We start from the raw sequence: 27,295 nt of genomic DNA on the forward strand, positions 1-27,295 counted from the left end.
TCCTGAACTCAAGTTATCCGCCCGTCTCAGCCTCCCAAAGTGCTGGATTACAGGCATGAGCCACTGCGCCCAGCAAGTAGGTTTGCTCAACTTTATCCTTTCAGTCAGAATTGTGTAGGCTGAACCAACTGAGATGTCTATGGAGTTGACTATTGTTTCTTCTGCTGTCGGTCCTCTTCAATTAGGGCAGAAACAAGATTAATTTTTTCCTCGCAAATTAACGTGGACAGTTTGCCACTGCAGGCTTTATCTTCAACATCATCTGCTCCTTCTTAAAAATGAGTTGTCCATTTGTAAACTGCTGATTTCTTTGGGGCACTGTCCCCGTAAACGTTTTCTAAAGCATCAATAATTTCACCATTCTTCCACCCAAGCTTCACCATAAATTCAATATTTGTTTTTGCTTCAATTTCAGCAGAATTCATGTTGCTCTAATAGGGCCTGTTTTCAAACTAATTTCTTACCCTTCTTAGCTCCTCAAACCAGATCCTGCTCAGGCATGTTATAGTAAGTTAGTATGAGTTATTTTGGGGTAAAAAAGTTTTGGAATTCATGTGTAGTTTTTTCATAATATACATTTTCCATGAACTTTTTGAAGACCCCTTGTTCAATGGAAACTCAATAAATGTCACTGAACGAATCCCAAAACAGTTAAGAATTTGCTAGGCTAAAAAGTCCAAGTTAGTCCAGGCAGCGGCTCATGCCTATAATCCCAGCACTTTGCAAGGCCAAAGTGGGAGGATTGCTTGAGCCCCGGAGTTCAAGATCAGTCTGGGCAACATGATGGGACTCTGTCTCTACAAAAAATGCAAAAATTAGCCAGGTGAGGAGGTGTGTGCCTGTAATCCCAGCTACTTGGGAGGCAGAGGTGGGAGGATCACTTGAGCCTGGGAGTTTTAAGGTTGCAGTGAGCTGTGATCATGCCACTGCACTCCAGTCTGGATGACAGAGGTGACACCCTGTCTCAAAAAACAATGTCCAAGTTAGGAAAAGTTATCTATAGGCATGACAAATCTCAGAGCGTAAAGACTCATTCCAGAATGAAGAGAATCAATGAGTGACTGAGCAGTGTTAAATATGAGGCACCAGTAGGCAGCCTGGGCAGGAAAATGGGGGTAGCTGGGACAGGCATATTTCATTTTCTACTTTGTACATTTCTGGTAGAACTTTTAATATTGTTAGAAACTGTATATTCCCAATCAGGGGAAAAAATTAAAGTATTTCCACTTTGGGAAAAAGTCTACAGAGGAAAACGAACATTATTCACTTTATAAATTACTGCAAGTCAACAAATATAAATACTACATAGTTCAAAAACTTTTAAAGGAAGAAACCAAAATGCTCACCACTGGGCAAATGGTATGCTGAGGAAGGGGAGAAGAGGAGGGTGGCCGTGTGATCACTGCCACAATAAGGAGGCGGGGAGGGAAAGCCTGGAGAGAGATGGAGAGGGAAGTGTGGTAATGGCAGCCAGACCCCTGGCTCCATGACATCACAGCCCTGGGCTCTGCGTACTAACGTAAGGAACCCAGGGAAAAGGCACCAACTTTCACCTGATCTGCATGGCATGTCTTTCCCCATATAACACAAAAGTTTTTGCTCAGTATTCTTCTCACCTATCAGAAATAGCTGTTTAAATTTAGAGTATGCAGTCTGGATTTCCTGCAGGGACAGGAAGTTGCTTGACAGGTCTTCCGTTTTAACAATTTCATAGGGTGGCCTGTGGATGGTCTTGTAAATTCTAGGTATCAAAAAGGAATATGAGATTAGAAGAGCAAACTCAAATTTTGCTTAAGGATTTACTACGTGCCACAATCTGTGTTAAGGGCTCAGTAGGCATTCTCCCATTTAATCTTCACCTACCAGGCAATTGCTGCAGGACTCCTGTTCCCAGTCAATGGGTGTGGAAATGGAGGTGCATAAAGTAAAACTGCCTGGCCCAAGATCATCCAATTTATAAACTGATAGAACCATGATTTGGACCAAGGCAATGTAACTCTGAGTCTATTCCTTCTTTTTTGTTTTAAATTCATCTACTTTGGGTTTTTTTTGCTTTGTTTTGTTTAATTTGAAACATGTAGAAAGTAGAATAGTATTGTGACATGTACCATGACCTAAATTTGACAACTGTTAACATTACAGACATCATGTCACCTCCCCACTGAAGACTTTAGCGTGCACCTCTAAAAACGACGCAGGTGACACTCTTAATTATTATGTTATACTGACTCCTTTCAAATTAACTCAAAATGATCACTGTTAAGTTGTATTCCCCTAGCATTAAGCTACCAGTAGGTAAACAGAAATAGACATACTACTAAGAGCTGTTCCCTGCTTCTTGGAAAACAAGAACTGAACAAGAACAAAATGTAGAACTAGTACTGACCCATCTAAGAAGCTCTTTTGGATTTGTAAAATGCCGTCATCCTGTTCTTTGGGCAGTGCTGACATTTTCAAAAGGGCACTTCCATTGTGGCAGGACCAACACCATATCTGTAGAAACAAATAAAGCTTTACCAGATACAATAAACACAACCCAACAGGGGACACATAAGCTTAGCATTTAAATGCATACAGGGAAATCTGTAACTTCAGTATGAAATGGCTGGACATACTTAACTTTATTAAGCCTGGGAGTATTTAGTCACAATGAAAAAGAATGATTTAGTTTTAAAAAATAAAACAGGTCTAGGTAGTCAGACACAGACTTATGGTCTAACATATACCTTTTGACTTATCATCAGCTGGTAACCCAGATGATGACAACAACAACATTATTATTATTAGGATAGTAGCTATCATTCAAGTGCAGCTTATTACATGTCAGGTATTTTACATGAATTAACTCATTTAATTGTTATGGTAACTCTCTGTGATGGGTATGATTATTTATCCCCCTTAACAGCAAGAAACTGAGGCTTGGAGAGATGGAAGGACTTTCCCAAGTTGTACAAAAGTAGCTGCAGTGTGACTCTAAAGGCTGTGTTGTATATGGATGGCAAAAAGGGGGCAACTCTCATTAGAGAAAATCCACACTAGGAAGAATGGAATGTTGGCTATTTGACATAACTGAATTCAAGACTTGTGACATGCAAGGCACCACATTAGGTTGTGAGAGGGCACAAAGATACTAAGATACTGTGTCTACCTTCAGAGCTTCGTTTCAAAAGGGAAATAAGCTTAGGAATATAAAATAAGGTAGAATGTATTATATAACTGAAGAAAGAAATTTCAAGGCACAACAAAAACAAGGCAAGGAGAAAGAAGTCACACGAGTGACCAACAGTGGCAGGTGAGGCTGTTTAGGCTTTCTTCTGCTTTGGCAATAGGTTAAGGTGTTCAGGCTTTTTTCAGGTTACAGTGGGGGGTTTTGTTTGTTTTTCAGGAACAAAAGGAGATTACAACTGATCTTGGGGCAAAGTAATCTGCCAGTGGAAGCTAGAATGGAGAAGAAAGACAGACTGGTTGGACGGGTGAGTACAGTTGTGGACTTTGAGTCCTGCATAAAGGCCTGGCTAAGTGCTTGAGAGTGGCTAAGGTCCAGCCCTTGCTTTGCTGACCAAGCCATTGGCCTGGGCTCAAAGATAAACCTGGAGGAAAGACCTTTTATAATTCGGCTTCCCAGAGGGAGCACCTTTTTGCCATTCATCTGCCAGGTATAAACCATGTGTTGGATATGCTAGCAGTGGCGTAGACCGAGAGTTAGAGATCGGCATGACAATCCAGGTGATATTGTGCACTACACTTAGAAAATCACAAAGGGGAACTGGTTCGGGATTTCTGGGGAAGGTGATGGAATCAGCACATATTGGGTGTCTAGCATCAACAGGACCTCCATGTGGAGATATTCAGGAGGCCCCTAAAATGAGAGGAAAACAGGCCTGGCACTCTAGAAATGGGAGCTGATGGTCTGCTGCAGTGGGGGAGCTGATGAGCCCAGCCAGAGAGCAAGGACAGAGTGACACAGAACTGCTTTAGGAACTGCTGTAAACAGCAACAACTCCTTTCTTGGGGCCAAGCCACACTTTAAGATTCATGATGAGGTGGAAGTGTTAGAACGTAAGATAATCAAAGGGCCCTTTGCTGTTCTTGCATTCCCTTTCTCAATGCCATGCTAAGCGATGTGCAGAAACCACCATACAGTTTTCAGCTCTCTGCCTAAGGTGGTGAAATTTTGGTGCCCAGGCAATTGTGCCCCCCTTAGTTGGCGCAGCTCACTTGGATAAAGGGGGAGATACTCTTAGCCATGACTGGATGGTGAGTTCTAAGAAACTAAGTGTTCTTAACCCTTTTTATCTCCTCTTCTGGAGCAGAAGGGCAGAAAGCATAGTCCCTTGGTGATATCCAACTATAACTCATTTTCCATCTGGGGCACATGTAATAACTCCTAATCATAACTGTCTCATCTCATCTGAGGCGTGAAGGGCCAACTCCCTTACTATTCTCTGCGTGAAACAGTAAATAGAAAAAAACAAAGTTCCTGGTCAAAGAGGCTTCTCACAGAAATTTAGCAAAAAGTCTTCTGTTGCTGCAATTTCTCTCTGGGAACTGTGAGGGCCAGAATTCTTAGTATGAGTGACTTCATAGGCAAGAATCACAGTTTGTTAATCTTATTTGTTTTTTTAAAAAAAGGATTACTCATTATTCGGTACATTTTAAGGTCCCTCTCTTTTTTTTTTTTTTTTTTTGAGACGGAGTCTCGCTCTGTCGCCCAGGCTGGAGTGCAGTGGCGGGATCTCGGCTCACTGCAAGCTCCGCCTCCCGGGTTCACGCCATTCTCCTGCCTCAGCCTCCCGAGTAGCTGGGACTACAGGCGCCCGCCACTACGCCCGGCTAATTTTTTGTATTTTTAGTAGAGACGGGGTTTCACCGTTTTACCTCGTGATCCGCCCGCCTCGGCCTCCCAAAGTGCTGGGATTAAGGTCCCTCTCTTAATAGAGTCAAAAACAGAGCTTTAATAGAACATCTACAGTCTGAGGCAGAAGGCAGCATAAGCAGGAAAGGACCATGAAGGAGGTCAGCAGGCCAAGGGAGTACAATGTTTCCAAGGCCAGGACAGGAACTTAAAAGACAATGTCATCAGAGTCAAACACTGCAGTCATGTAGGGAACTGGGGCTGCACACGACGTAAGGACTTCTGGGAGGGAAATGTCCACAGTGTGTGGGGAGTAGAAGTCATGTTACAAGAAGAAATGGTAGAGAAAACAAGTATAGACTCTTTAAATATACTTGGCAGTACAGGAAGAACAAGACAGCCGCTTGACTACGAAGGAAGTGCCTCAGGTTAAGGGAGACAGAAGGATGTCTTCAAAAACAGACATAGCAGAATAGACTTGGGAAAGGCAACCATAGAAGAGGGAAGGCCCATGGAACGGGACTCCAAACAAGGCAATCAAGAGCCCAGAGACCCAGATTCTGTATGAAGGAAACGGGAGCCCAGAGAGAAACAACAGGAGGCTGAGTAGAAGGAAGCTGAGGGAGTTCTTGTCGCTGTCCTGGATCCCACTGGACTAGGGAAAAGGTCGTCACTGGGAGTCAAGAATGATACAAAAAACTTAAAGGGATGAAAACCTGTTCACGCAGAGAACAATGATATAGGAACCAAAAAGAGTTAAATAGCATACTGCTGGGCGGGACAAAGCATCACCAGTGGTTTTCACGGTCCGTTAAGCACAGTTTGCTGTTTGGTTTGAATAATCCATAACAATATTCATTTGTCCCAGAGGAAAAAAAAGATACTCAGGGTTGAAGAACAGCGGCCAAAGCCTTTAGAATAGCGGCAAGGACATGAATAAACTGACCAATTATACAGGTCTTCCTTGAAAAGAAGTGAAGGCAGGGAAGAACAGACTGGGTGAAAAGCCAGGGTAGACAGCATGGAGATGTGGAAATGTTCTGGAACAAACTGTGGTAATGTTTGCACAACACTGAGAATATACTAAATGTCACTATGGGAAGTTTTATGTTATGTGTATTTTACCACAATTTTTAAAGATTCTGTGAATGAAATGAAAGATTGACTGTTCATAATCTAGCCCCAAACTATCTCTTCAATCTTAGCTTCCTATGCACCTACTGCAAATTACCTGTTACTATTGATTTGAGTGCTTATATGCCAGGTCCTAGAGAAAATGTATGTACATGCAATCTTGCAGATCAGTGGTTCTCAAACTTTTTGATCTTAGACCCCTTCATGTTCTTAAAAATTACTGAGGACCCTGAAGAGCTTGTGTCTACATAAGCTATAGCTATTGATATTTACCACATTAGAAATTAAAACTGAGAAACTTTTAAATACTAATTCATTTTAAAACAATAATTACCAATTACCTGTTACTGTAAATAATATTTTCCACCCAAAAACACATAGGAAGATAAACGGCTTTGTTTTATGTTTTTGCAAATCTCTTAAATATCTGGTTTAAGAGAAAACAGTTTGATGTTCTTATCTCTTAACAACAAAAATAAGCACAGAGAATAAGTGTAAATATGAGTAGGTTCAATAGGAATGAGAGAAAGAAGAACAAGGTAAAGACAAAGCCAGAGAGGGGCTTACGGACACTCACATCAACTAGTTGTCACATTTTCTGTAAGTCTCTTAAGAGTCAGAGAAGACACATGCTAAACAGAAAACAGTCCAGATCACCTAAAGCAGGGGTTTTCAACCTGCATTTTGTGCCCCCACCCCACCCACGAGGGGACATTTGGCAATACCTGGACATATTTGTTGGTTGTCACAACTCACGGGATAGGGGTGCTACTGGCACCTCAGAAAATGCTACTGGCAGTGCTGATGCTATATATTCTACAATAACAGCCCCCCACAACAAAGAATTATCTGGCCTAAAATGTCAATAGTGCCTAGGTTAAGAAAGCCTGTCTTAAAGAAAATGAAAAACAAGAGGCTATAGTGGTACTGTGTACATTTAAAAGGATTGGGTATTCTAGGTTAAGGTACATAATTTCACCGATTCCAAATATAAAATAAATTACCTTTTAATTTGCTTAAGGCCATTTCTGGTGATCTAAATGTTCCAGTCAAATGAAAATTTTATGTTAAAAGAAAAGAGAGGGAGAAAGAGAGAGAGAGATTGAGGGCTCTATGTTTCCCGGGTAGATGTATAAATTCCATCTTGTGTAATACTTTTTTGCTGTTCATTCACACAAACTCCACTGTAACTTTTGGGACGTATAAATATGGGAAGAACTAATGAAGTGAGAACACGTTCTCACAGTTTTCTTTTCTTTTCTTTCTGAGACAGAGTCTTACTCTGTTGCCCAGGCTACAGTGCAGTGGCACGATCACAGTTCACTGCAGCTTCGAACTCCTGGCTCAAGGGATCCTCCCACCTCAGACGCCAGAGTAGCTGGGACTATGGGCATGTGCCACCTTACCAGGCTAATTTTAAAAAATTTTTTGTAGAGATGGAGTCTCGCTTTGTCGCCCAGGCTGATCTCAAACTCCCGGGTTCAAGCGATCTGCCTGCCTCGGTCTCCCAACGTGCTGGGATTATAGGCGTGAGCCACTACGCCCTGCATTTCCCACAGTTTCTATCAAAGTAATGCCTCAGGCTCCTCACTCGAATCTTATCAGAATATTTGCTACTTCTCAGGCCCAAGGCCTGGCTAGAATGCAGAGTATCTACATTTCATATACTGCAGGGATGGAGAAGCAGCCTATTCCTACATATGTGAACAGTTCACCTCTGTTTCTTCCCACAGAGCATATCCTCTTTTCCAGACCCCTCTATGAAAGACTGAAAGATAGAGACTCTCATTTTCATTCCTCTAAAGCATCCGTTTTCGAAGTGTAGTATACACTACGCTGGGAGGTCTCAAGATCCTTTCAGGTGGTCTGAGAGGCCACAGCTATTTTCATAATAACGCTAAGATATAATTTGTCATATGTACCGTGGTGACTTTTGGTACAAAAGCAGTGGTGGTAAAATTGCTGGTGACAGTACCAATCAAGGCAGGGCCACCCAACTGTACTGATGCTCACTGTATTCTTCACTGCCACACCAGCAGAAAATAAAAAGTTTCCCTTCAGAATGTCCTTAATAAAGAGCTAAAAATTATGAATTTTATTCATTGTGACCAACTCTGTCCCCAAAACATGCTTTTAAACATCTGAATCAGTGGCATATATTTAGAAATTAGGAAAACTCACATAAAGATCTGTATCTAGGCCAGGCATGGTGGCTCTCAACACTTTGGGAGGCCGAGGCGGGTGGATCACCTGAGGCCTGGAGTTTGAGACCAGCCTGGTCAACATGGCGAAACCCCGTCTCTACTAAAAACACAAAAAATTAGCTGGGCCTGGTGGTGGGTGCCTCTAATCCCAGTTACTCGGGAGGCTGAGGCAGGAGAATTGCTTGAACTTGGGAGGCAGAGGCTGCAGTGAGCAGAGATTGGGCCATTGCACTCCAGCCTGGGCAACAAGAGCAAAACTCCGTCTAAAAAAAACAAAAATAAAAACAAAACAAAACAAAAATCTGTATCTATGGCTTCTCCTGAAAAATCAGGACATCTGGCAACACTTGGCTCATATTCCCATGTGGCATATACTGCCTAGCACTGAAGAGATGTCCCCCTAGACCAGGCGGAGGGCCTCTGGTTCACCACAAGGTCATACTCATTACCTGCTTGGACTCCATGGGCTTCTGGGCACGTGACCCTGCTTAACCATACCTCCACCCATATGGGAGTGACCCTTTTGGTGAACCAGCTGTGCACACAGCACAGCACTTATTTATAATTCTCATTCCTTACTAAATACCCTGCAGGCCTGGCAATTCCCAACCACCAATTAGAAACCGGAGTAACTGCCAGAGTCTTGCTTTCTTTGATCAGTGACACATTAAATATGGCTCCAATCCCACTCTATTCTGTGAAAACTAAGCAGCACTCCATGTTGTCTCTGGGAGAAAACACCACCATGCCCATACAAAGATTAACAGTGTGGGCCAAAAAGAAGCTTAAATCCTACTACCCTTGGCGTGCTTTGGCTCAGGTTCAAAATGACTTAGTGTTAAACCGGGCTTGCTTTCAACACCAGACAGATCTATGATCCTCTTAAAGCTCTGTTCATGTCTCTTCTAAAAACTCAAGTGCATTTGTGAAAACTTTAGAACTCTGTCCCAATGACCTTTAACAGACTCTTCTAGGGAGTCCCTAAGATATTTCTGGATTGTTCTTGGACTGAAAACAAACTCTAGAACAAAAGCCAAGGGCTTTCAGTAGGATCATTTTGCCAGGATAGACCAATGCACAACCCACACCTTTCAGGGTTCCCAGATGCACTTACTGGTATGCCATGACCCTGAAAGCGCTGCACATTCTCTTCAGGAAGAGGGGTGGGGACAACAAAGTATGCTGGCAATCTAGAAGAAAGAAATGTCATCAAGTTTTAGTACAACACTTAATTCACAAAATATGAAAGCTCAACTTCAATGGATACGATGAATACAAGCAGAGTGTTAAGCAGATGGGACCATATTTCCCTGTTCAGAACCAGCTCAGAGGAACTGCTGCTTTCGGTGTGGCGTGAAGTACTCTGGACAAATCAGTGGGGAATCTAAGTTCAAACTGTGGCTCTGCCTGCAATTCTGTACAACCCCAGGTAAGTTATTCTACCTCTCTGGGTCTGTTTCCTCTTTCAAAAATGAGGGGATAGGAAAATATGATACCTAAAAGCATCGAATTCTGAAATTGGGAGTATTGTTCTCATATAGTAGCCATATAAGCACCTGTGTTGTTTTCAGTTAAACTAATAGGAAAAACAGTAATTATGAGGTTTGCTGCCCAGACATTTTATCAAGTGCTCTGACAAGAACATTTAAGTGCTACTGTGTACCAACCACTGTTCTAATTACTTAACACCTCTTATCTAATATACTTACCAATAAGTACTGAACATTACTTATCGATTTAATCTTCCCAACAATTCTATGAGATATGTAATATTATTTCCATCTTACAGATAAAGAAACTGAGACACTATTCTGCTAAGACTCTTCCCTGGTTACACAACTAGTTAGCACACAGTGCAGCTGGGACCTGAACCCAAGCATTGGGACTTCAACTTCTATAGGAGAAAATTTAGTCTCTAAAAAGAACAAACTTGTTAAGTAGTAGGACATGGTAGAATGAAAGATCAAAATTACTTGGGGACATCATCTCTCAGGCAGCAGATGTAGGTTTCTGTTAACAAGAAAACTGCCTAAGTTTCTATCACTGTGAAGCTATAAGAATCTGTAAGCATCTTTCCCTCAAAGAGCTTGAAATAAAGCCTCACAAGAAATAAGGTGCTTATGGTGTTAAGTTACAATGGAAAATAATCAATGGCATTTGTATGCATGCTGCATGTGTGATGTAGATCAGTTCATAGGAGATGGGGCAACAAATAAATATCACCATGGGGATGTGATCATCAAAACCCAGGCTGTGGAAAACTGTCAGTCAAGTTTCTTCAACATATTGCAAGAAAAATATGATGGCTTGAAAATCTATAGATGAAGCAATTTAACAAACCTACCAATCTCATTTAATCTTGATTACTTTTAAAAAAAGATTAAAAAGATGACAGAGAAAGGGTTTAAAAATTTGTAAGACACGGCTGGACGCAGTGGCTCACACCTGTAATCCAGCACTTTGGGAGGCTGAGGCATGGTGGCACACGCCTATAATCCCAACACTTTGGGGGGCCAAGGTGGGAGGGCTGCTTGAGGCCAGGAGCTTGAGACTAGCCTTGGCAACATAGTGAGACCCCATCTCCACAAAAAAATTAAAAAAAATTAGCTGGACGAAGTGGCACACACCTGTAGTCCCAGCTACTTGGGAGGATCACTTGAGCCTCCAGGAATTCAAGGCTGCAATGAGCCATCACTGTGCTACTGCACTTAAGCCTGGGTGACCCTGTCTTTAAAAAATTAAAATTAAAACAAGATAATCCAAGAGAGGGTGAAGCAGGTGGGGGTATAGAGAAAACAAAATTGGCCATCAGTTGATAACTGTTGAGTCTGGGTATTTTAGGGTAAATGGGAATTCATCATATCTTCTTTCCTTTTATACTACTTGAAATTTTGCATTTAAAAAATCATCAGCCGGGCATGGTGGCTCACACCTATAATCCCAGAACTTTGGGAGGCTGAGGTGGGTGTATCATGAGGCGAGGAGTTTGAGACCAGTCTGGCCAAGATGGTGAAACCTTGAATCTACTAAAAATACAAAAGTTAGCTGGGCATGGTGGCGGGTGCCTGTAATCCCAGCTACTCGAGAGGCTGAAGCAGAGGAATCGCTGAACCTGTGAGGTGGAGCTTGCAGTGAGCCAAGATTGCGCCACTCTACTCTAGCCTGGGCAACAGAGCAAAACTCTGTCTCAAAAAAACAAACAAACAAACAAACAAACAAACAACAACAAAAAACTTGGACTGGGCATGGTAGCTCACATTGTAATATCACCTGAGTTCAGGAGTTCAAGACCAGCCTGGGCAACACGGCAAAATCCCCCTCGCTACTAAAAATATAAAAATACAAATATAAATAAAATGTAGATATAAGTTTTTTGTAGTCATATAAAATATAAAAAATTGAGCCGAGCATAGTGGCGGGCACCTATGGTCCCAGCTACTCAGGAGACTGAGGTGGAAGAATCGCTTGAGCCCAGGGGGTAGAGGTTGCAGTGAGCAGAGATCGTGCCACTGCACTCCAGCCTGGGTGACACAGTGAGACCCTGTCTCAAAAAAAAAAATGCAAAACCAAAAAATCTTAAAAGTAATTAATGAAGAAAAAGTTCCAATAAGATTGTGATAGAAAACCAGGTTTGGAAACTAATGGTCACTAAGACACTTCAAACCATCAAAACTGTGAAGAATGTTTGCCTTCTGAAGTTCTGAAGTACTTGAAATATTTTCTTATAAGTCTGACTGAATGGGTGACTGGTAAGGCATCCCTTTTTCAGGTGTAGTCATTGAAGTAAAAACCTCTCCGCAGATCAACTGCTCTTAAACTCAGGCTGCTCATTCAAATCAAGTGGGAAGATTAAAAGATTACCAATGTCCAGGCTCCATCCAAGAACTATTAAATCAGAAGCTTAAAAGCTCTCCAGGTAAGCAGTTGGGATGAACACTGTTGTTCCAGAAGATCCTGCTACTCACAGTTTCAGCAGCATGACCTGGAAGCTGATGAGGACTGCAGACGCTCTAGCCTCCCCCAACCTACTGAGTCAGATTCTGAATATTAGACAAGAGCCTCCAGCGATTAGACACACATTAAATGGAGACGCACTGCTCTAGATGGTAGCTTACAAACAGGCCACTGTTTCTCAACCTTTTCAGGACAGTCATCTGTGCAGTTGTTTAAACCAGATCCTGAGCTCCTTCCTCAGTGGCTCATGCTATAAAGCTGGACTGGGGCCCCATGGTTTTAAAAAATTTCCATGTCTTCCCCAACTAGTGAGGTTGAATATTTTACACTGTTAGTTCATCGGTGAGTTTTCTTATAGATGGTCTTTCACAAAAAAAAAAAAAAAAAAAAAAGTCAGAACCAAATGTATTGGCAAATATCCCATCCATCACCGAGCAGAGAAGGCTGTACAGAGACGAAGAGCACTGCAGTCAGTGAGAGGTGTGGAGGGTGTCCTCTCCTGACCACTTAATTCCAGGTGGATTCCATGGAGTCCCCACTGTGACATTCCCATTGGACACAAGCAATCAATCCTCCCTCCTTGGAAAGCAGTCATTTCAGTCATTAAGATGAGCTTAGAACACAAAGTAAACAGTTCCTGCAAATACCAGATGACTTTACTCATGGAAAATTGTGTATCTACTCAGGCACAACCTCCCAGAACAGCAATGTCTTCCTGTGCCAGCAACAGCTCCTAGGTCCCTCTGTGTGGTACACACTCCACAGGGCCACATACCATCCTATGCGTTTACAGGGAAGTGGGATGGGAGAAAGGTTTGTTAGGAGGAGAATGAAAAAGAGAAGGAAGAGACCTGTGGTACCAGAATAGCCAGCTCTGACCTTGTGGGAAAGTGAAGTAGACAGTTCCTTGTTCTTACCCAAACTGACGCAGGTCCCCCTCTAAATACAAATGGGGCTTTTCCTTCTGTCTCCTATTTATTGAGCTCCTCTTAGAAGCCAGCCACCGTGTTACACTGAGGACATAACAATGGGCAAAAACAGCATCCTTTAACTTCACAGAGCTGTAGGTTGCAGAAACTCACATTAACCAAATGATGATACAAAATAACAACAAACTTGCCATTGCAGGAAGCGCTGTGAAGAGGGGCAGACAGTGCAATGAAAACTCACAAGGACACCTGACTTAGCCTTGGGAAAGCTTGCAACTTAAGTGGTACCTGGGGCTGGGCATAGTGGCTCAAGCCTGTAATCCCAGCACTTTGGGAGGCTGAGGCAGGCGGATCACTTGAGGTCAGGAGTTCAAGACCAGCCTGGCCAACATGGTGAAACCCCGTCTCTACCAAAAATACAAAAATTAGCTGGGCGTGGTGGCGCATGCCTGTAATCCCAGATACTTGGGAGGCTGAGGCAGGAGAATCGCTTGAACCTGGGAGGCGGAGGTTGCAGTGAGCCGAGATCACACCACTGCACTCCAGCCTGGGTGACAGAGTGAGACTCAGTCTCCCAAAAAAAAAAAAAAAAAAAGCGGTACCTGGGGTAAGATCCGACTGATGAAGTGGAGTTAATTATACTTGTGCAGCTAGAAGCAAAAAGGACTTCCAGACAGGAGCCTGTGGGTAAGACCTGTGGCAGGGAGGTCAGTATGGCCAGAGGGGTGGGACACAAAGCTGCAGTCAAACCATGAAGGGCCTTGAGAGTGCTTGTTGAGGGCTCTGTTCTATACCAAGAACAGCGGGAAGCCACTGAAGCCAGGGACAAGTGCCATGAGATGCATGTGGAGTAGCCTGCTTGGCATGCGACATGGAGAATGGATGCTGGGGCACCAGTGGATGGGGGAGACCACGGAGCAGCGACTACAGTGGTCTGGAGTGAAACAAACCACAGCTTTTCCTGTATATTTCTGACATGCTAACACCTATGCAAATGCCAACTGATTAGTATGTGGCAGGATTTTTTTTAAAAACAATTCTGGGAACTTATGTTAGTATCAACATCTTATTACAAACTATCATCTCCTAGGAGCAGGGGTTTCTAACTTCTTTCTGAGCAAGAGCTAGCTTTATCCTTTCAAGCTTTAAAACCAGGAAAGAGAAAAGAACAGGGTGTGGCTGACAATGAGGTTCTTGGTGGGGGTCAGGACCCTGGCAGGCCCTTCCCCACTGCCACCACAGCTCACACTGTGAAGGCACTGCAGGGCGGGGGGGAGGGGGACCAGTGGCAGCAACCTGATAAATACTGAGAGTGATCAGAATCAAAACTGATTACTGAAGAGGCCTATCAGAACCATGATACAAAGAGCTCTACAAAAATACAAAGTTGTATGAATCTGTTAGCAGGGTGTTAGGGAGTATGTTCCAAAATGATAACATTCAAGTTTCTGAAAACAGATTATACAGTCATGCTTTAAAAATGTAGGTCAGCCAGGCGCAGTGGCTCACGCGTGTAATCCCAGCACTTTGGGAGGCTGAGGCAGGCAGATCACTTGAGGTCAGGAGTTCAAGACCAGCCTGGCCAACATTGTGAAACCCCATCTCTACTAAAAATACAAAAATTAGTGGGGCGTGGTGGCAGGCGCCTGTAATCCCAGCTACTCAAGAGGCTGAGGCAGGAGAATCACTTGAACCCAGGAGGCAGAGGTTGCGGTGAGCCGAGATAGCACCACTGCACTTCAGCCTGGGTGACAGAGTGAGACTCAGTCTCAAAAAAACATGTAGGTCAGATCATGTCTGCTTCTACTCAGCCTCCCTCTCACTGTCCTCCCATCAAAGTCTCTGGGCCCATCATCTCCCACTCCTCTCCCTAGCTTGCTCCTCCCCCATCCCTGGGCACCTTGCTGTTCCTCCCCCAGGCCTTTGCTCTTACTCCTCCCTCCACCTGGAATGCTCCTCCCTCGGGTGTCCTCTGACTCAAGCTTTCACTTCCTTTACGACTATGCTTACAAGCCACCATGCAAAACCTTACTTCCACCATGTAAAACCTTCCTGACCAACCCTCCCACCATCACCTCCAGCACTCCCTAACCATGTGCTGGATCTGATTTTCTCCATAGCACTTATCTATTAACATGCTATAATTTACTTCTTTATTCTACCATCATCTTCCTCCCTCCAGAATGATAGCTCCAAGAGGGCAGAGGTTTTCAGGTGCCCTGTTGACTGCTGCCATCTCTAATAGCTAGGACACTGCCAAGCAAATGGAAGGCAGTCAAAAATTTTTGGTGAATGAATAAAAGAAGTGCTCAATAAAAGGGAAGAAAAAGGCCGGGCGCAATGGCTCACACCTGTAATCCCAGCACTTTGGGAGGCCGAGGCGGGCAGATCACAAGGTCAGGAGATCAAGACCATCCTGGCTAACAGGGTGAAACCCTGTCTCTACTAAAAACACAAAAAATTAGCCAGGCGTGGCGGCAGGTGCCTGTAGTCCAAGCTACTCAGGAGGCTGAGGCAGGAGAATGGCGTGAACCCAGGAGGCGGAGCTTACAGTGGACCGAGATCACGCCACTGCACTCCAGCCTGGGGGACAGAGAGAGACCCCATCTTAAAATGAATAATAAATAAGTACATAATAAAAAGCTAGTATTGATGTGGAGGAAGAAACTCTCATACACTGTTGGTAGGAATATAAAATGGAACAGTCTCTGTGAAAAAGTCTGTGAGTGCCTCAAAAGGGTAAACACAAATTTCCACAGGATCTGGCAGTCCACTTCTAGGTAATATACCCAAGAAAAATAAAAACATACATCTACACAAAAATTTATAATTGAATGTTCATATCAATATTATTCATGGCCAGGCATGATGGCTCATGCCTGTAATCCTAGAAGTTTGGAAGGCCGAGGTGAGAGGATCGCTTGAGCCCAGGAGTTCAAAACCAGCCTGGGCAACATGGTGAAACCCCATCTCTACAAAAAGCAGAAAAATTAGACAGGCATGGTGGTGCACGCCTGTGGTCCCAGCTACTCAGGAGGCTGAGGTGGGAGAATCACTTGAGCCGAGACGGAGGTTGCAGTGAGCCGAGATGGCACCACTGCACTCCAGCATGGTGCAGCATAGGTGTCGGAGCAAGACCCTGTCTCAAACAAAAACAAAAACAAAAACAAAAAACCAAAAAACATTATTCAAAGAGCCAAAAAGTGAAAATAATCCAATAGTCCATCAACTAATAGATGGATAAATTAAATGTGCTATATCCACATTATGGAACATTACTTGGCAATAAAAAAGAATGAGATTCTGATACAAGCTGCAAAATAAACAGACTTTGAAAACATCATGCTAAGTGAAAGAACCAAGTCATAAAAGATCACATATGATATGATTCCATTTATATGAAATGTTCACAACAGGCAAGTCTATAGTGATAGAAAGTAGATTAGTGGTTGTCTAGGACTGGGGAAGAAAGAGAGGTATTCGGGGAAAATGGGGAGTGACAGCCAATGGGTATGGAGTTTCTTTTTGGGAGGATGAAAATGTTCTAAATTGACTGTGGTGATGACTGCACAACCCTGTGAATATACTAAAAAACACTGTACACTTTTAATGGGTGAATTGTACAGCATGTGCCCAGCATGGAAAGCTTACCTCTCACAGACTTTATAGCCTTCGTTGACACTCACTGCTTTGTACTTCATGTTGCCTTTGGTCCGTTCCAGTTCCCAACACCAGTCCTTAAGTGTGTCAAACATTACGGTATGGTTCTTGGGATCAGTGACTAAGAGAACAAAATGTAAAAGACAATAAAATCTTTCCATGAAGCACTGGTGCTTTTATTATGTGAAAGTCCCTCCTTAGGTTTTGGTTTCCTCCACTAAGCCCATTTTTATCCAAGCAGAATGAATTGATTGCTTAATCCTAACCTTGTTCCATTTTTTGTCATTAATCCAAAATTATGACTGAGTCTCTTTTTTTTTTTTTTTTGAGATGGAGTCTTGCTCTACTGCCCCTGCTGGAGTGCAGTGGCCAGTGGTGCCATCTTGGCTTACTGCAACCTCCGCCTGCCAGGTTAAAGTGATTCTCCCGCCTTAGCCTCATGAGTAGCTGGGACTACAGGAACGCACCACCACATATGGCTAATTTTTGTATTTTTAGTAGAGACGGGGTTTCACCATGTTGGCCAGGTTGGCCTCAAACTCCTGACCTCAAGTGATCCACCTGCCTCAGGTGCCCAAAGTGCTGGGATTACAGGAGTGAGCCATCGCGCCAGGCCAGCTGTCTTTTTACATTGTAGGAACTGAGTTCCATTCCTTGGAAAAGTAATTTATAGCTCCATTTCTAGTCATCTGACCATGAGTTAATTTATATAACACAAAAAGATCATGTGAAGCACTAAAAGACAGGCTTGGCACAAATGCTAAAGTGACAAAATATTTTTAGCCCTGCCAATGTGTGCATAAGACGGCCAACTAATTTGAATAGTATCTCAGGATCTTCAATGTAAATCCTCCTTCAGTTTGAAGATGCACTGCTTGTAAGAGGATTTGTCTAGTGTGACAACCGGTTCCTGAAGGCCATAAACAGATGATGGCCATGGTGAGGATCAGGGCCTGCTAGCCAAGGCTGAATCATGGTTATGGGTACATACTTCTATCCCCAACCCGGCCCTGCCACTACCTGCTAGGACAAAATGCCCTGGAGCACCGCTCTTGCAGCCTAGCAGATGTGTCCTTGGTCTTCTCCCAAGCCACAGCACTGCTTGCCGGGTATTTATACATATACCACAATAGTCTTGAGTATATACACAAATTCTATCACAAATAGTTCAAGTCTTTGCACATCTAAAAAACCAAGCCTTCTGGGAAAAACGAAGGGTTTACAAAAACTACCCCAGCTCCTTTTCATAAAACCAGATCATAGCAAAAATAAGAATAATGATGATGATAATAGTGCTTATATAGCACTTACTAGGTACCAGGTACTGTTCTGAGCATATTACTTTTTTTTTTTTTTTGAGACGGAGTCTCGCTCTTTCGCCCAGGCTGGAGTGCAGCGGCGTGATCTCAGCTCACTGCAACCTCTGCCTCCCAGGTTCAAGCGATTCTCCTGCCTCGGCCTCCTGAATAGCTGGGATTATAGGCACCCACCAACACGCCTGGCTAATTTTTGTATTTTTAGTAGAGACGGGGTTTCACCATTTTGGCCAGGCTGGTCTTGAACTCCTGACCTCATGATCCACCCACCTCGGCCTCCCAAAGTGCTGGGATTACAGGTATGCAACACCACACCCAGCCTATATTACATTTTATTAACTCAATCCTCACAACCCTATAGAATAGATAATACAATAGGTAAGATCATTTCCTCCATTTTACAGATATAGCACAGAAAGGTCAAGTAACTTGCCTACGTCACAAAGCTAGGCAATGATGGAACTGGGATTCAAACCCAGGAAACTATAAAAGAAATTTCCATAAAGTTCTAATCCTGCCCCTCCAAACCCCACCAAAAAAAAAAAAATCCCCATGGATATAAGGTAGTAACAACATTCCCATTTACCACAGTAGGCCATCTTCTAGGCAATGCAAGGAAGTCCTTCCCTAAAATGCCATGTCATAAACATTTAGGACCTTCCAACCAAAACACATTTGTGAATTATGAAGCCAGGGAATAATTAAAGGTATTCAAATTGCGAAACACCCACCTCTACAAACCCCTATTCAATGAAAAAGCTATTTGGTCAATTAGCATCTACGAGTTATAACCTTTACTTCTCAAAACAAATGAGGGCTGGAAGGAAGTAGAAGAAGAGTGGAATTAAACCAGAATAAAAGATGCTATTAATACATATCCTGGGCCTCTGGCACAAAAAGCCACCAGAAGGTAATGAAACTGCCAAGGTCGATCAAGGTAAGGGTTTTGGCATGCTAATCCACATATGTTGGCAGGCCGAGAAAGTGTCCTATGCTGGGTACAGAACAAAAATCAGGATACAAGGAAAATCAGAATTCCTGAAAATAGATATGATTTTGCAAATGTGCACTCAATAAATGTTTATACAAATTATAGCAATCAACAAGTCATATTTGTATATGTCATATTGCCACAAACTCTAAGACAGCACCCAGTTAATCAGCACTTGTATATATAGTTGCAGTAAAAATCTGTCATTCACAAAGATAAACTGAATGAATTAAGGGATAAATTTTATGTTCAACCTAATATTACTGGGAAGTGTATTTTATGTCAGTGTAATTCTCTAAGCATAATCTGTCCTCAATAATATGCAGTTTTACTCTTAATTAATTCCCAATTAATGACTGCACCTTATGTGCCACCCACTAACAATTTATAATTCTCACAAGACTTATTGCTGCTATTTTTAAAATAAGAAAGCAGAGGTTTTCTTATTTTAACAGAGTTAAGTGTCATCCCCAGGATCACACAGCTGGAAAACAGCAAGGCCAGGATTTGAACACAGGTCAAATGGACACCAAAATCTATCTATACCTTTTCTATGAAATCACCATAGCTCCCAAAATGCAGCATGCTCTCTGAGATAGCCACATCTCTATACACGCCAATCCCTCTGCCCAAAATACTCCTTTAAGCCTACCAGATGCTCCACTATCTGCTAAGGCCCAGACTTTTCCCCTCGATAGTCCACCCTCCCCCAGAGGGTGGGCGCCTCCACAGAGGACACATCACTCAGCTTCCTCTCCTATATGACTTTACGTTTTTGTTTTGTTTTGTTTTGTTTTTTAACTTTACGCTTCTTGAGGGCAAGGATTTAGTCCTGTTTATCTCCATATACCCACAGAACCCGGCTTACAGCAAGCAGTCAATACATATTTACTAAAAGAATGGATAGTGACAAAGCAACTCTGCCTTCCAGAAAGCCTTATGACAAAGCCTTGTGTGCTTTTTAAAAGAAACTGCTAGGCTGGGCACGGTGGCTCATGCCTGTAATCCCAGCACTTTGGGAGGCCAAGGCGGGCAGATCACTTCAGGTCAGGAGTTCGAAATCAGCCTGGCCAACATAGTGAAACCCTGTCTCTACCAAAAATACAAAAATTAGCCACATGTGGTGGCATGCGCCTGTAATCCTAGCTAATCAGGAGGCTGAGGCAGGAGAATCACTTAAACCCAGGAGGTGGAGGTTGCAGTGAGCCGAGATCCCGCCACTGCACTCCAGCCTGGGTAACAGTGTGAGAGTCGTCTCAAAAAAAAAAAACAACCAACAACAACAAAAAAAAACTGCCACTTCCCTGACAAAAAGTACATAGGACTCAGGATCACTAAACATCAGCTTCATGTTAAGAGTAATGGATGGAGCCGGGCGAGCTGGCTCATACCTGTAATCCCAGCACTTTGGGAGGCCAAGGCAGGAGGATCACGAGATCAGGAGTTAGAGACCAGCCTGGCCAACATGGTGAAACCCCGTCTCTACTAAAAATACAAAAAAATTAGCTGGGCATGGTGGCGCACACCTGTAATCCCAGCTACTCAGGAGGCTGAGGCAGGAGAATTGCTTGAACCTGGGAGGCAGAAGTTGCAGTGAGCCAAGATCACGCCAGTGCACTCTAGCCTGGGCAACAGAGCAAGACCCTGTCTTGAAGAAAAATAAAAGAGTAACGGACGGGCCCTTGAACCTGTAATCCCATCACTTTGGGAGGCCGAGGCCGTGGATCACCTGAGGTAAGGAGTTCAAGAGCAGCCTGGCCAACATGGTAAAACCCCGTCTCTACTAAAAATACAAAAATTAGCCGGGCGTGGTGGTGTGTGCTTGTAATCCCAGCTCCTCGGGAGGCTAAGGTGGGAGAATTGCTTGAACCCGGAAGGTGGAGGTTGCAGTGAGCCAAGATCGTGCCACTGCACTCCAGCCTGGGCGACAGTGGGAGACTCCATCTCAGAAAAAAAAAAAAAAAAAAAGAGTAATGGACAGAACCAAGTGAACAGACTGAGGTGAAAGAACAAGAGGAAGAAAACAGACATCTGTGAAAACATGTCCAATGCTAGGCATTGTTAATGGCTAATTCAGATGACCAGTTTTGTTCTTAAAAGATTGCTCTCTTTTTCACCAAACTGAATGAAAAACATTTGGAACTTCAAGTTTTGTCTTACTAAATTAGTTGCTGGATGTGCTCTTCTTATGTATAACTGTCCCATTTCCCCTAAAATATTTGCTATAAAGTATGCTCTGGTTGTTTAAAAACTTTCTAGAATGCAAGAAATTCTCTATGGTCTTATGAAATAAAATCAAGCATATTTAAACAGAAAAACCCAGGGACAAACATGGTTATTTTAAACTTTTCTCAATTTTGTTTCCCTATAGTCTCACATTCCTAGTTATAATATATTAATCTTATTTTTCCTTTTCTTTTTTTTGAGACGGAGTCTCATTCTATTGCCAGGCCGGAGTGCAGTGGTGCGATCTCGGCTCACTGCAACCTCCATCTCCCAGGTTCAAGCGATTCTCCTGCCTCAGCCTCTCAAGTACCTGGGATTACAAGCATGCGCCACCATGCCCAGCTAATTTTTGTATTTTTAGTACAGACAGGGTTTCACCAGGTTGCCAGGATGGTCTTGATCGCCTGACCTCGTGATCCACCCACCTCGGCTTCCTGAAGTGCTGGGATCACAGGCATGAGCAACTGTATCTGGACCTTGATCTTATCTTTCATAAAACGCAACCAATCAAACAATCCCTTGCAAAAAGCAAGCAAACAAACCTAAAAGAAGGTAAACAAAGATCACAGGAAGCCTGGCCCAGTGGCTCACACCTGTAATCCCAGCACTTTGGGAGGCCGAGGTGGATGGATCACTTGAGGTCAGGAGTTTGGAACCAGCCTGACCAACATGGAGAAACCTCATCTCTACCAAAAATACAAAAATTAGTCAGGCATGGTGGTGGGCACCTGTAATCCCAGTTATTCAGGAGGCTGAGGCATGAGAATTGCTTGAACCCGGGAGGCGGAAATTGCAGTGGGCCAAAATCATGCCATTGCACTTCAGCCTGGGCTACAAAGCGAGACTCCATCTTTAAAAAAAAAAAAAAAAGATCACAGGAAAGAAAATGTAGATATCTAAATGAATCACTCAAGCAAGGGGTGACCAATTGGTAGAGGAGACAGGAAAAAACAAAACAACCCATAGATGTGTTCTCCCCCACTGGCTTCAGGTGGGAATTGGAAGGCTTCTGCTTACCCTCAAATTAGAACCCAGAAGATATTTACCTGTATTGTTTTGTGCAGCAGTCGCATAGGAAAACAGAAATAATCGTTTAAGCAGTTTAGGAGCCTGGGTATGATGAATTATGCCACTGACAATCTAAAAAAGAATCGAACAATGGATATAGTTATGGTTTTGACAGATAAACACTAACAAAGACAAGAGTCAAGGTGTCTAAGTTCTTAGTCATGCCAAAGGGGTTCCAATGGACAACATATTAATTCTCATTTGAGATCTGTATCTATGACATTAGCTTTTTGGAATAATGGCAAATCAACAGGATGCTAACCATTTTGTGAGGTTTTCTTTCTTTTTTAAAAATTTTTATTATTTTTAACTTTTTTTTTTTTCTGAGACAGCTCTCTCTGCTGCCCAGGCTGCAGTGCAGTGGCATGATCTTGGCTCACTGCAACCTTTGCCTCCTGGGTTCAAGCGATTCTCCTGCCTCAGCCTCCAGAGTAGCTGGGATTACAGGCCTGCATCATCACGCCTGACTAATCTTTGTATTTCTAGTAGAGACGGGGTTTCGCTATGTTGGCCAGGCTGGTCTTGAACTCCTGACCTCAACTGATCTACCTGCCTCAGCCTCCCAAAGTGCTGGAATTACAGGCATGAACCATCCTGCCCAGCCTATTATTATTATTATTATTGTTATTGAGACAGAGTTTCACTCTTGTTGTTCATTGCAACCTCCACCTCCTGGGTTTAAGTGATTCTCCTACCTCAGCCTCCTGAGTAGCTGCGATTATAGGCATGCGCCACCACGCCCGGCTAATTTTTTGTATTTTTAGTAGAGACAGGGTTTCGCCATGTTGGTCAGGCTGGTCTCGAACTCCTGACCTCAGGTGATCCACCCACCTCGGCCTCCCAAAGTGCTGAGATTGCAGGCATTGGCCACCGTGCCCAGCCCAGTGTGTCAGGTTTTCTAAGAACTCTGAATTTCTAGGGAAAATTTTAAAACATAGTCTAATTTCTCAAAAGCAAAGTGCTAAAAAACGTAAGTGCCACATTAAGTCAGATACTCCAAAACTCTGACATGTCAAAGACTTACAGCTGATATTGGATTATAACCAAGACACAGCTGTTCTGATCCATTGTTGAGGCCTTTAGGATCTTCTTATGGAAGATAAGGGAAAGAAATCAATCTATCACGCTGTTTCGTGTGAAACTAAAGTATATTTGGTTAAGTGACTAAAACCATTGTTCAAATTGAAGTTTCTGCCTTCTCAGGAAATTTTCTATATCTATACTCTTTTGTTGCTCAGAATAGATATCAGTTATGTTTATTATTCTAACTGAACTACCACACTACTTAAAGGAAATTAAGGAGTTACCACTAAGTGTGCAAACTCACTGCAGCCAAGACAGTATACATGAACAGGCCTCCTGATAGGTTTCCCCTGATGTATTTATACCATCAGAGGGAAAAGTCTGAGATCAATATCTTAGTAAGAGAAATCTTGGATACCACTGGACTTCAGCCGGGGTGACAGAGTGAGACTCGGTCTCAAAAAAAAAAGAAAAAAAAATCTTGGAAATTACAACAAACATCAAATTGATACAACCACTTTCTGAGTTCACCTAGTTGCATATCTCAACTTGCTGTGGCGACCAGGAGATTATGTTTATTTAGTCTCTAAAAGCATGTCTGATTATTTGGCTTTGCTCATCTGACCTGTGTACTTCCTCCTTTCCATGCACAACTACTACCTCCCAGAGGTAAACTCATTTACTCATAGAAGTTGGAATTCTCCAACACTACTGTCTTTTGGAAAGACTGTCAGAGGTGGGAGAATAGGGATAAACTTTTAGCTGTCTCATCCTTTCTTCATTTTCCCCTACCGCCTACTGACCTGGTTTACCACCTCCCACCATTTAGTGGCTCCAGGAATAAAAACATTATGAATTGAAGTATTAAAGGTAGCATGTGCCAAGATGATACACACGCATGCTTTATCAAATTACTTTTCACGTTCTAATCAAAGAATATGGGATTACAACCAATTTCAAGTTCACAGAGTGAAAGCCTCCCCTCAACCTTCATGCAACGTAAGCAAAAACTAGAGCTAGTGGGGAAAACCTGATGGGAAATAAAACCTAAAAACACATGCAACTAGTTACCCTTTTGACTTCCTCTTCCTTTGTGTACCTCAGACAAAACTGGAACACTCGAAGGTCTTTGCAGTGGATGATGAGCTTCTCAGGGTATTTCTTCAGTTGTCCAAAGAGAGTTTTCTTTTTCTCATCAAACACTACAGATCAGCAATGAAATCAGGAAGGGAAATTATGTTACACAGCAATAAGTGAATGCTAAAGAAATGAAGTAGATGATCAACTTCTAGGGATACTTCCCAAGAATGAGAGGAAAGGTGCTGCCTGACTTTTAAGTGACTGCCAAAGGAAGCCCAATCTCTTCCAGCAGGGGCCCTGGCTCTCTGAGAGCAGTCAGCGTGCTTCACTCCTCTGGAGTAAGCACAAGAACAGACTGGCCACTGTTGGCAGAACTGATTCCAGTGGCCCAAAGAAAACCCACTCTGAAAGTTGAGCTTATAAAAGATGAAAGGGAAATGACTAGAGACATGCTTTCATGACAGTCAACTCCTGGGTTTACAGCTAGGACCCCTGCTGAGACCCCCTACTGTCCCAGAATGTGGACCCACTCAGCACCTAGTAGTCTGGAGAACATCATAAATGATCACTGAATGATTTCTGAAGATGCCCCGAATACAAAAACATTCGGAAGTGGAACAGAGAGAGGCTTGGCAGGAGAGGCTTGTTTAGTCAGCAGAAAAGACATCTTAATGCAATACAACAGACCTTTTTATCAGAGCAGCCTATAAAGTAAAACCTACACAGCTAACTCTGATATCAAAAAGTCTGATCAACATCTAGCATATAATGGTGTCGTGTGAAGTATTAAAAAGAACAGGTTCCAAGTTCAGGTCCAAACTCCTCTAGCTAAGTGACCTTATATAAACCACTTTACATCTCAATTTTAGCATCTATAAAACAGATTTAAACAAGATGATATATGTGAAAAAATTTTTAAAAATTATAAATGGTCATAAAAATATTATTATCATTATCACCTATACTCTCAAAGGTTGCCAACACCCCAGGGAAAAACAGATACTTACCTCCATAAATCTGATCAACACAGTGGAGTGTAATGTCATTTTCTCCTATAACCTTATTCTTAAATTGAGTTTCCTAGAAGATTCAAAAGGAAACAACTGTGACTCCTCTGCATACTGTTAGACATTTATAGGCAGAGTAAATCACCATTCTCTACTTGGATATTAAGAAAAATGGGGGGCCGGGTGCAGTGGCTCACACCTGTAATCCCAGCACTTTGGGAGGCCGACGCGGGCGGATCACGAGGTCAGGAGATCGAGACCATCTTGCCTAACACGGTGAAACCCCATCTCTACTAAAAATACAAAAAATTAGCCAGGCTTGGTGGTGGGCGCCTGTAGTCCCAGCTACTCGGGAGGCTGAGGCAGGAGAATGGCGTGAAACCAGGAGGTGGAGCTTGCAGCCAGCCGAGATCGCACCACTGCACTTCAGCCTGGGTGACAGAACGAGACTCTGTCTCAAAAATAAATAAATAAATAAATAAAAATAAATGGGGAAATGCAGCGACATTCCTAAAAAAGGGACGATGAAGTATGTGAGAAAAGCTCCTGAGATTCATTCTGAGACAGGGTTTAGTTCTGTCACTCAGGCTAGGCTGGAGTGCAGTGGGGCAATCTTGGCTCACTGCAACCTCCACCTCTCAGGCTCAAGCTAACTTTGCACCTCAGCCTCCTGAGTAGCTGGGACTACAGGCACACTCCACCACTCCTAGCTAATTTTTGTGTTTTTTTAGAGACATGATTTCCACATGTTGCCCAGGCTGGTTTTGAACTCCTGAGCTCAAGCAATCCACCTGCCTCAGCCTCCCAAAGTGCTGAGATTACAGGTAAGAGCCACCGCGCGTGGTCCAGAACATGCCATTTCTGGGCCCCTCCTAGGCAAACCCACCATGCCACACACAATCACTTTGAGAAGTGTGGGGAAGTTATGTACAGGTTAACATTTCTCCACACAAATGTGAACAGGGGATTGACAGAGCTACCTGAAGTCAGCTTCAGGAAGAACAAGAGATTCAAGTTTCTGGTGAATGCTCTCTTTGTACAGGACTATGAACCAAGCCCAAGGCCAGATGGAAGAGGCAGTACTGGTGCTGCTGTTTAAAAAACAAGGGTGATCTGGGACAGTTGGCACATTGGGGCCAGGATGTGCCTTGGTTGGGTTTCCACTAACATATGGTGCTCTCCTAGTGGTATGGGCAGTTCTCTCCTTACCTGATTGCTCATTCTTCATGAATAGGAACAAATTTCACAAGGCTACTGCTACTAGGTTCAGATTAAACATAAGGTGAGCCGGGTGAGGCGGCTCATGTCTGTAATCCCAGCACTTTGAGAGGCCAAAGCGGGTGGATTTCTTGAGCTCAGAACTTCGAGACCAGCATGGGCAACATGGCAAAACCCTGCCTCTACCAAAAATAACAAAATTAGCCAGGCGTGAATGTCACACGCCTATGGTCCTAGCTACTCAGGAGGCTGAGGTGGGAGGATTACTGGAGCCACGACTACGCCACAGCACTCCAACCTGAATGACAGAGTGAGACTCTGTCTCAAAAACAATTAAAAATAAAAAACAAAACAAAAACAGAGTGAACCCAAATTCAAAGGCTGCATTCACCATCGGTTTCATTACTGAACTCAGTTCCTGGGTTTAAGGAAGAGCTTAGTATAGAGAAAACGTGGGGAACTAGTATATTTGGAAGATGTTATTCCAGTGAGTGATATATATTGCACTGAAATACAGAAGAAAATTGAAAGTTGACACATGAGGTCAAAAGTAAGCCAGTATGACATGAGGCACGGGTGAGAAATTTCTTAACGGTCCTGCCACGGAAAGGAGACCCTGAACGACAGAGA

The 27,295-nt window shown here is 43.1% G+C and overlaps 1 protein-coding gene across 3 annotated transcripts in view, besides 1 other annotated feature; it reads right to left on the reverse strand.

The window, feature by feature from the left end:
• MTMR12 (myotubularin related protein 12) overlaps window positions 1-27,295 on the reverse strand; it is an 85,933-nt gene that overhangs the window by 19,379 nt on the left and 39,259 nt on the right. For all 3 annotated transcript variants that reach the window (NM_001294344.2, NM_001294343.2, NM_001040446.3), the window contains exons 4-10: window positions 25,448-25,520; window positions 24,432-24,562; window positions 22,316-22,409; window positions 16,728-16,857; window positions 9,308-9,383; window positions 2,387-2,493; window positions 1,617-1,741 (exon numbers count right to left, since the gene is read on the reverse strand). In NM_001294344.2, coding sequence (NP_001281273.1) covers window positions 1,617-1,741; window positions 2,387-2,493; window positions 9,308-9,383; window positions 16,728-16,857; window positions 22,316-22,409; window positions 24,432-24,562; window positions 25,448-25,520 — 736 coding nt within the window. The remainder of the gene's footprint in view (window positions 1-1,616; window positions 1,742-2,386; window positions 2,494-9,307; window positions 9,384-16,727; window positions 16,858-22,315; window positions 22,410-24,431; window positions 24,563-25,447; window positions 25,521-27,295) is intronic.
• Window positions 14,935-15,034: an enhancer, noted in NCBI's record as "active region_22438". NCBI's record gives its function as "activates an Ori minimal core promoter by ATAC-STARR-seq in GM12878 lymphoblastoid cells {active_cell/tissue: GM12878}" and the evidence as "EXISTENCE:reporter gene assay evidence [ECO:0000049][PMID:35858748]".

The sequence above is a fragment of the Homo sapiens genome, chromosome 5 (assembly GCF_000001405.40).
Source record: "Homo sapiens chromosome 5, GRCh38.p14 Primary Assembly".
Lineage (NCBI taxonomy): Eukaryota > Metazoa > Chordata > Mammalia > Primates > Hominidae > Homo > Homo sapiens.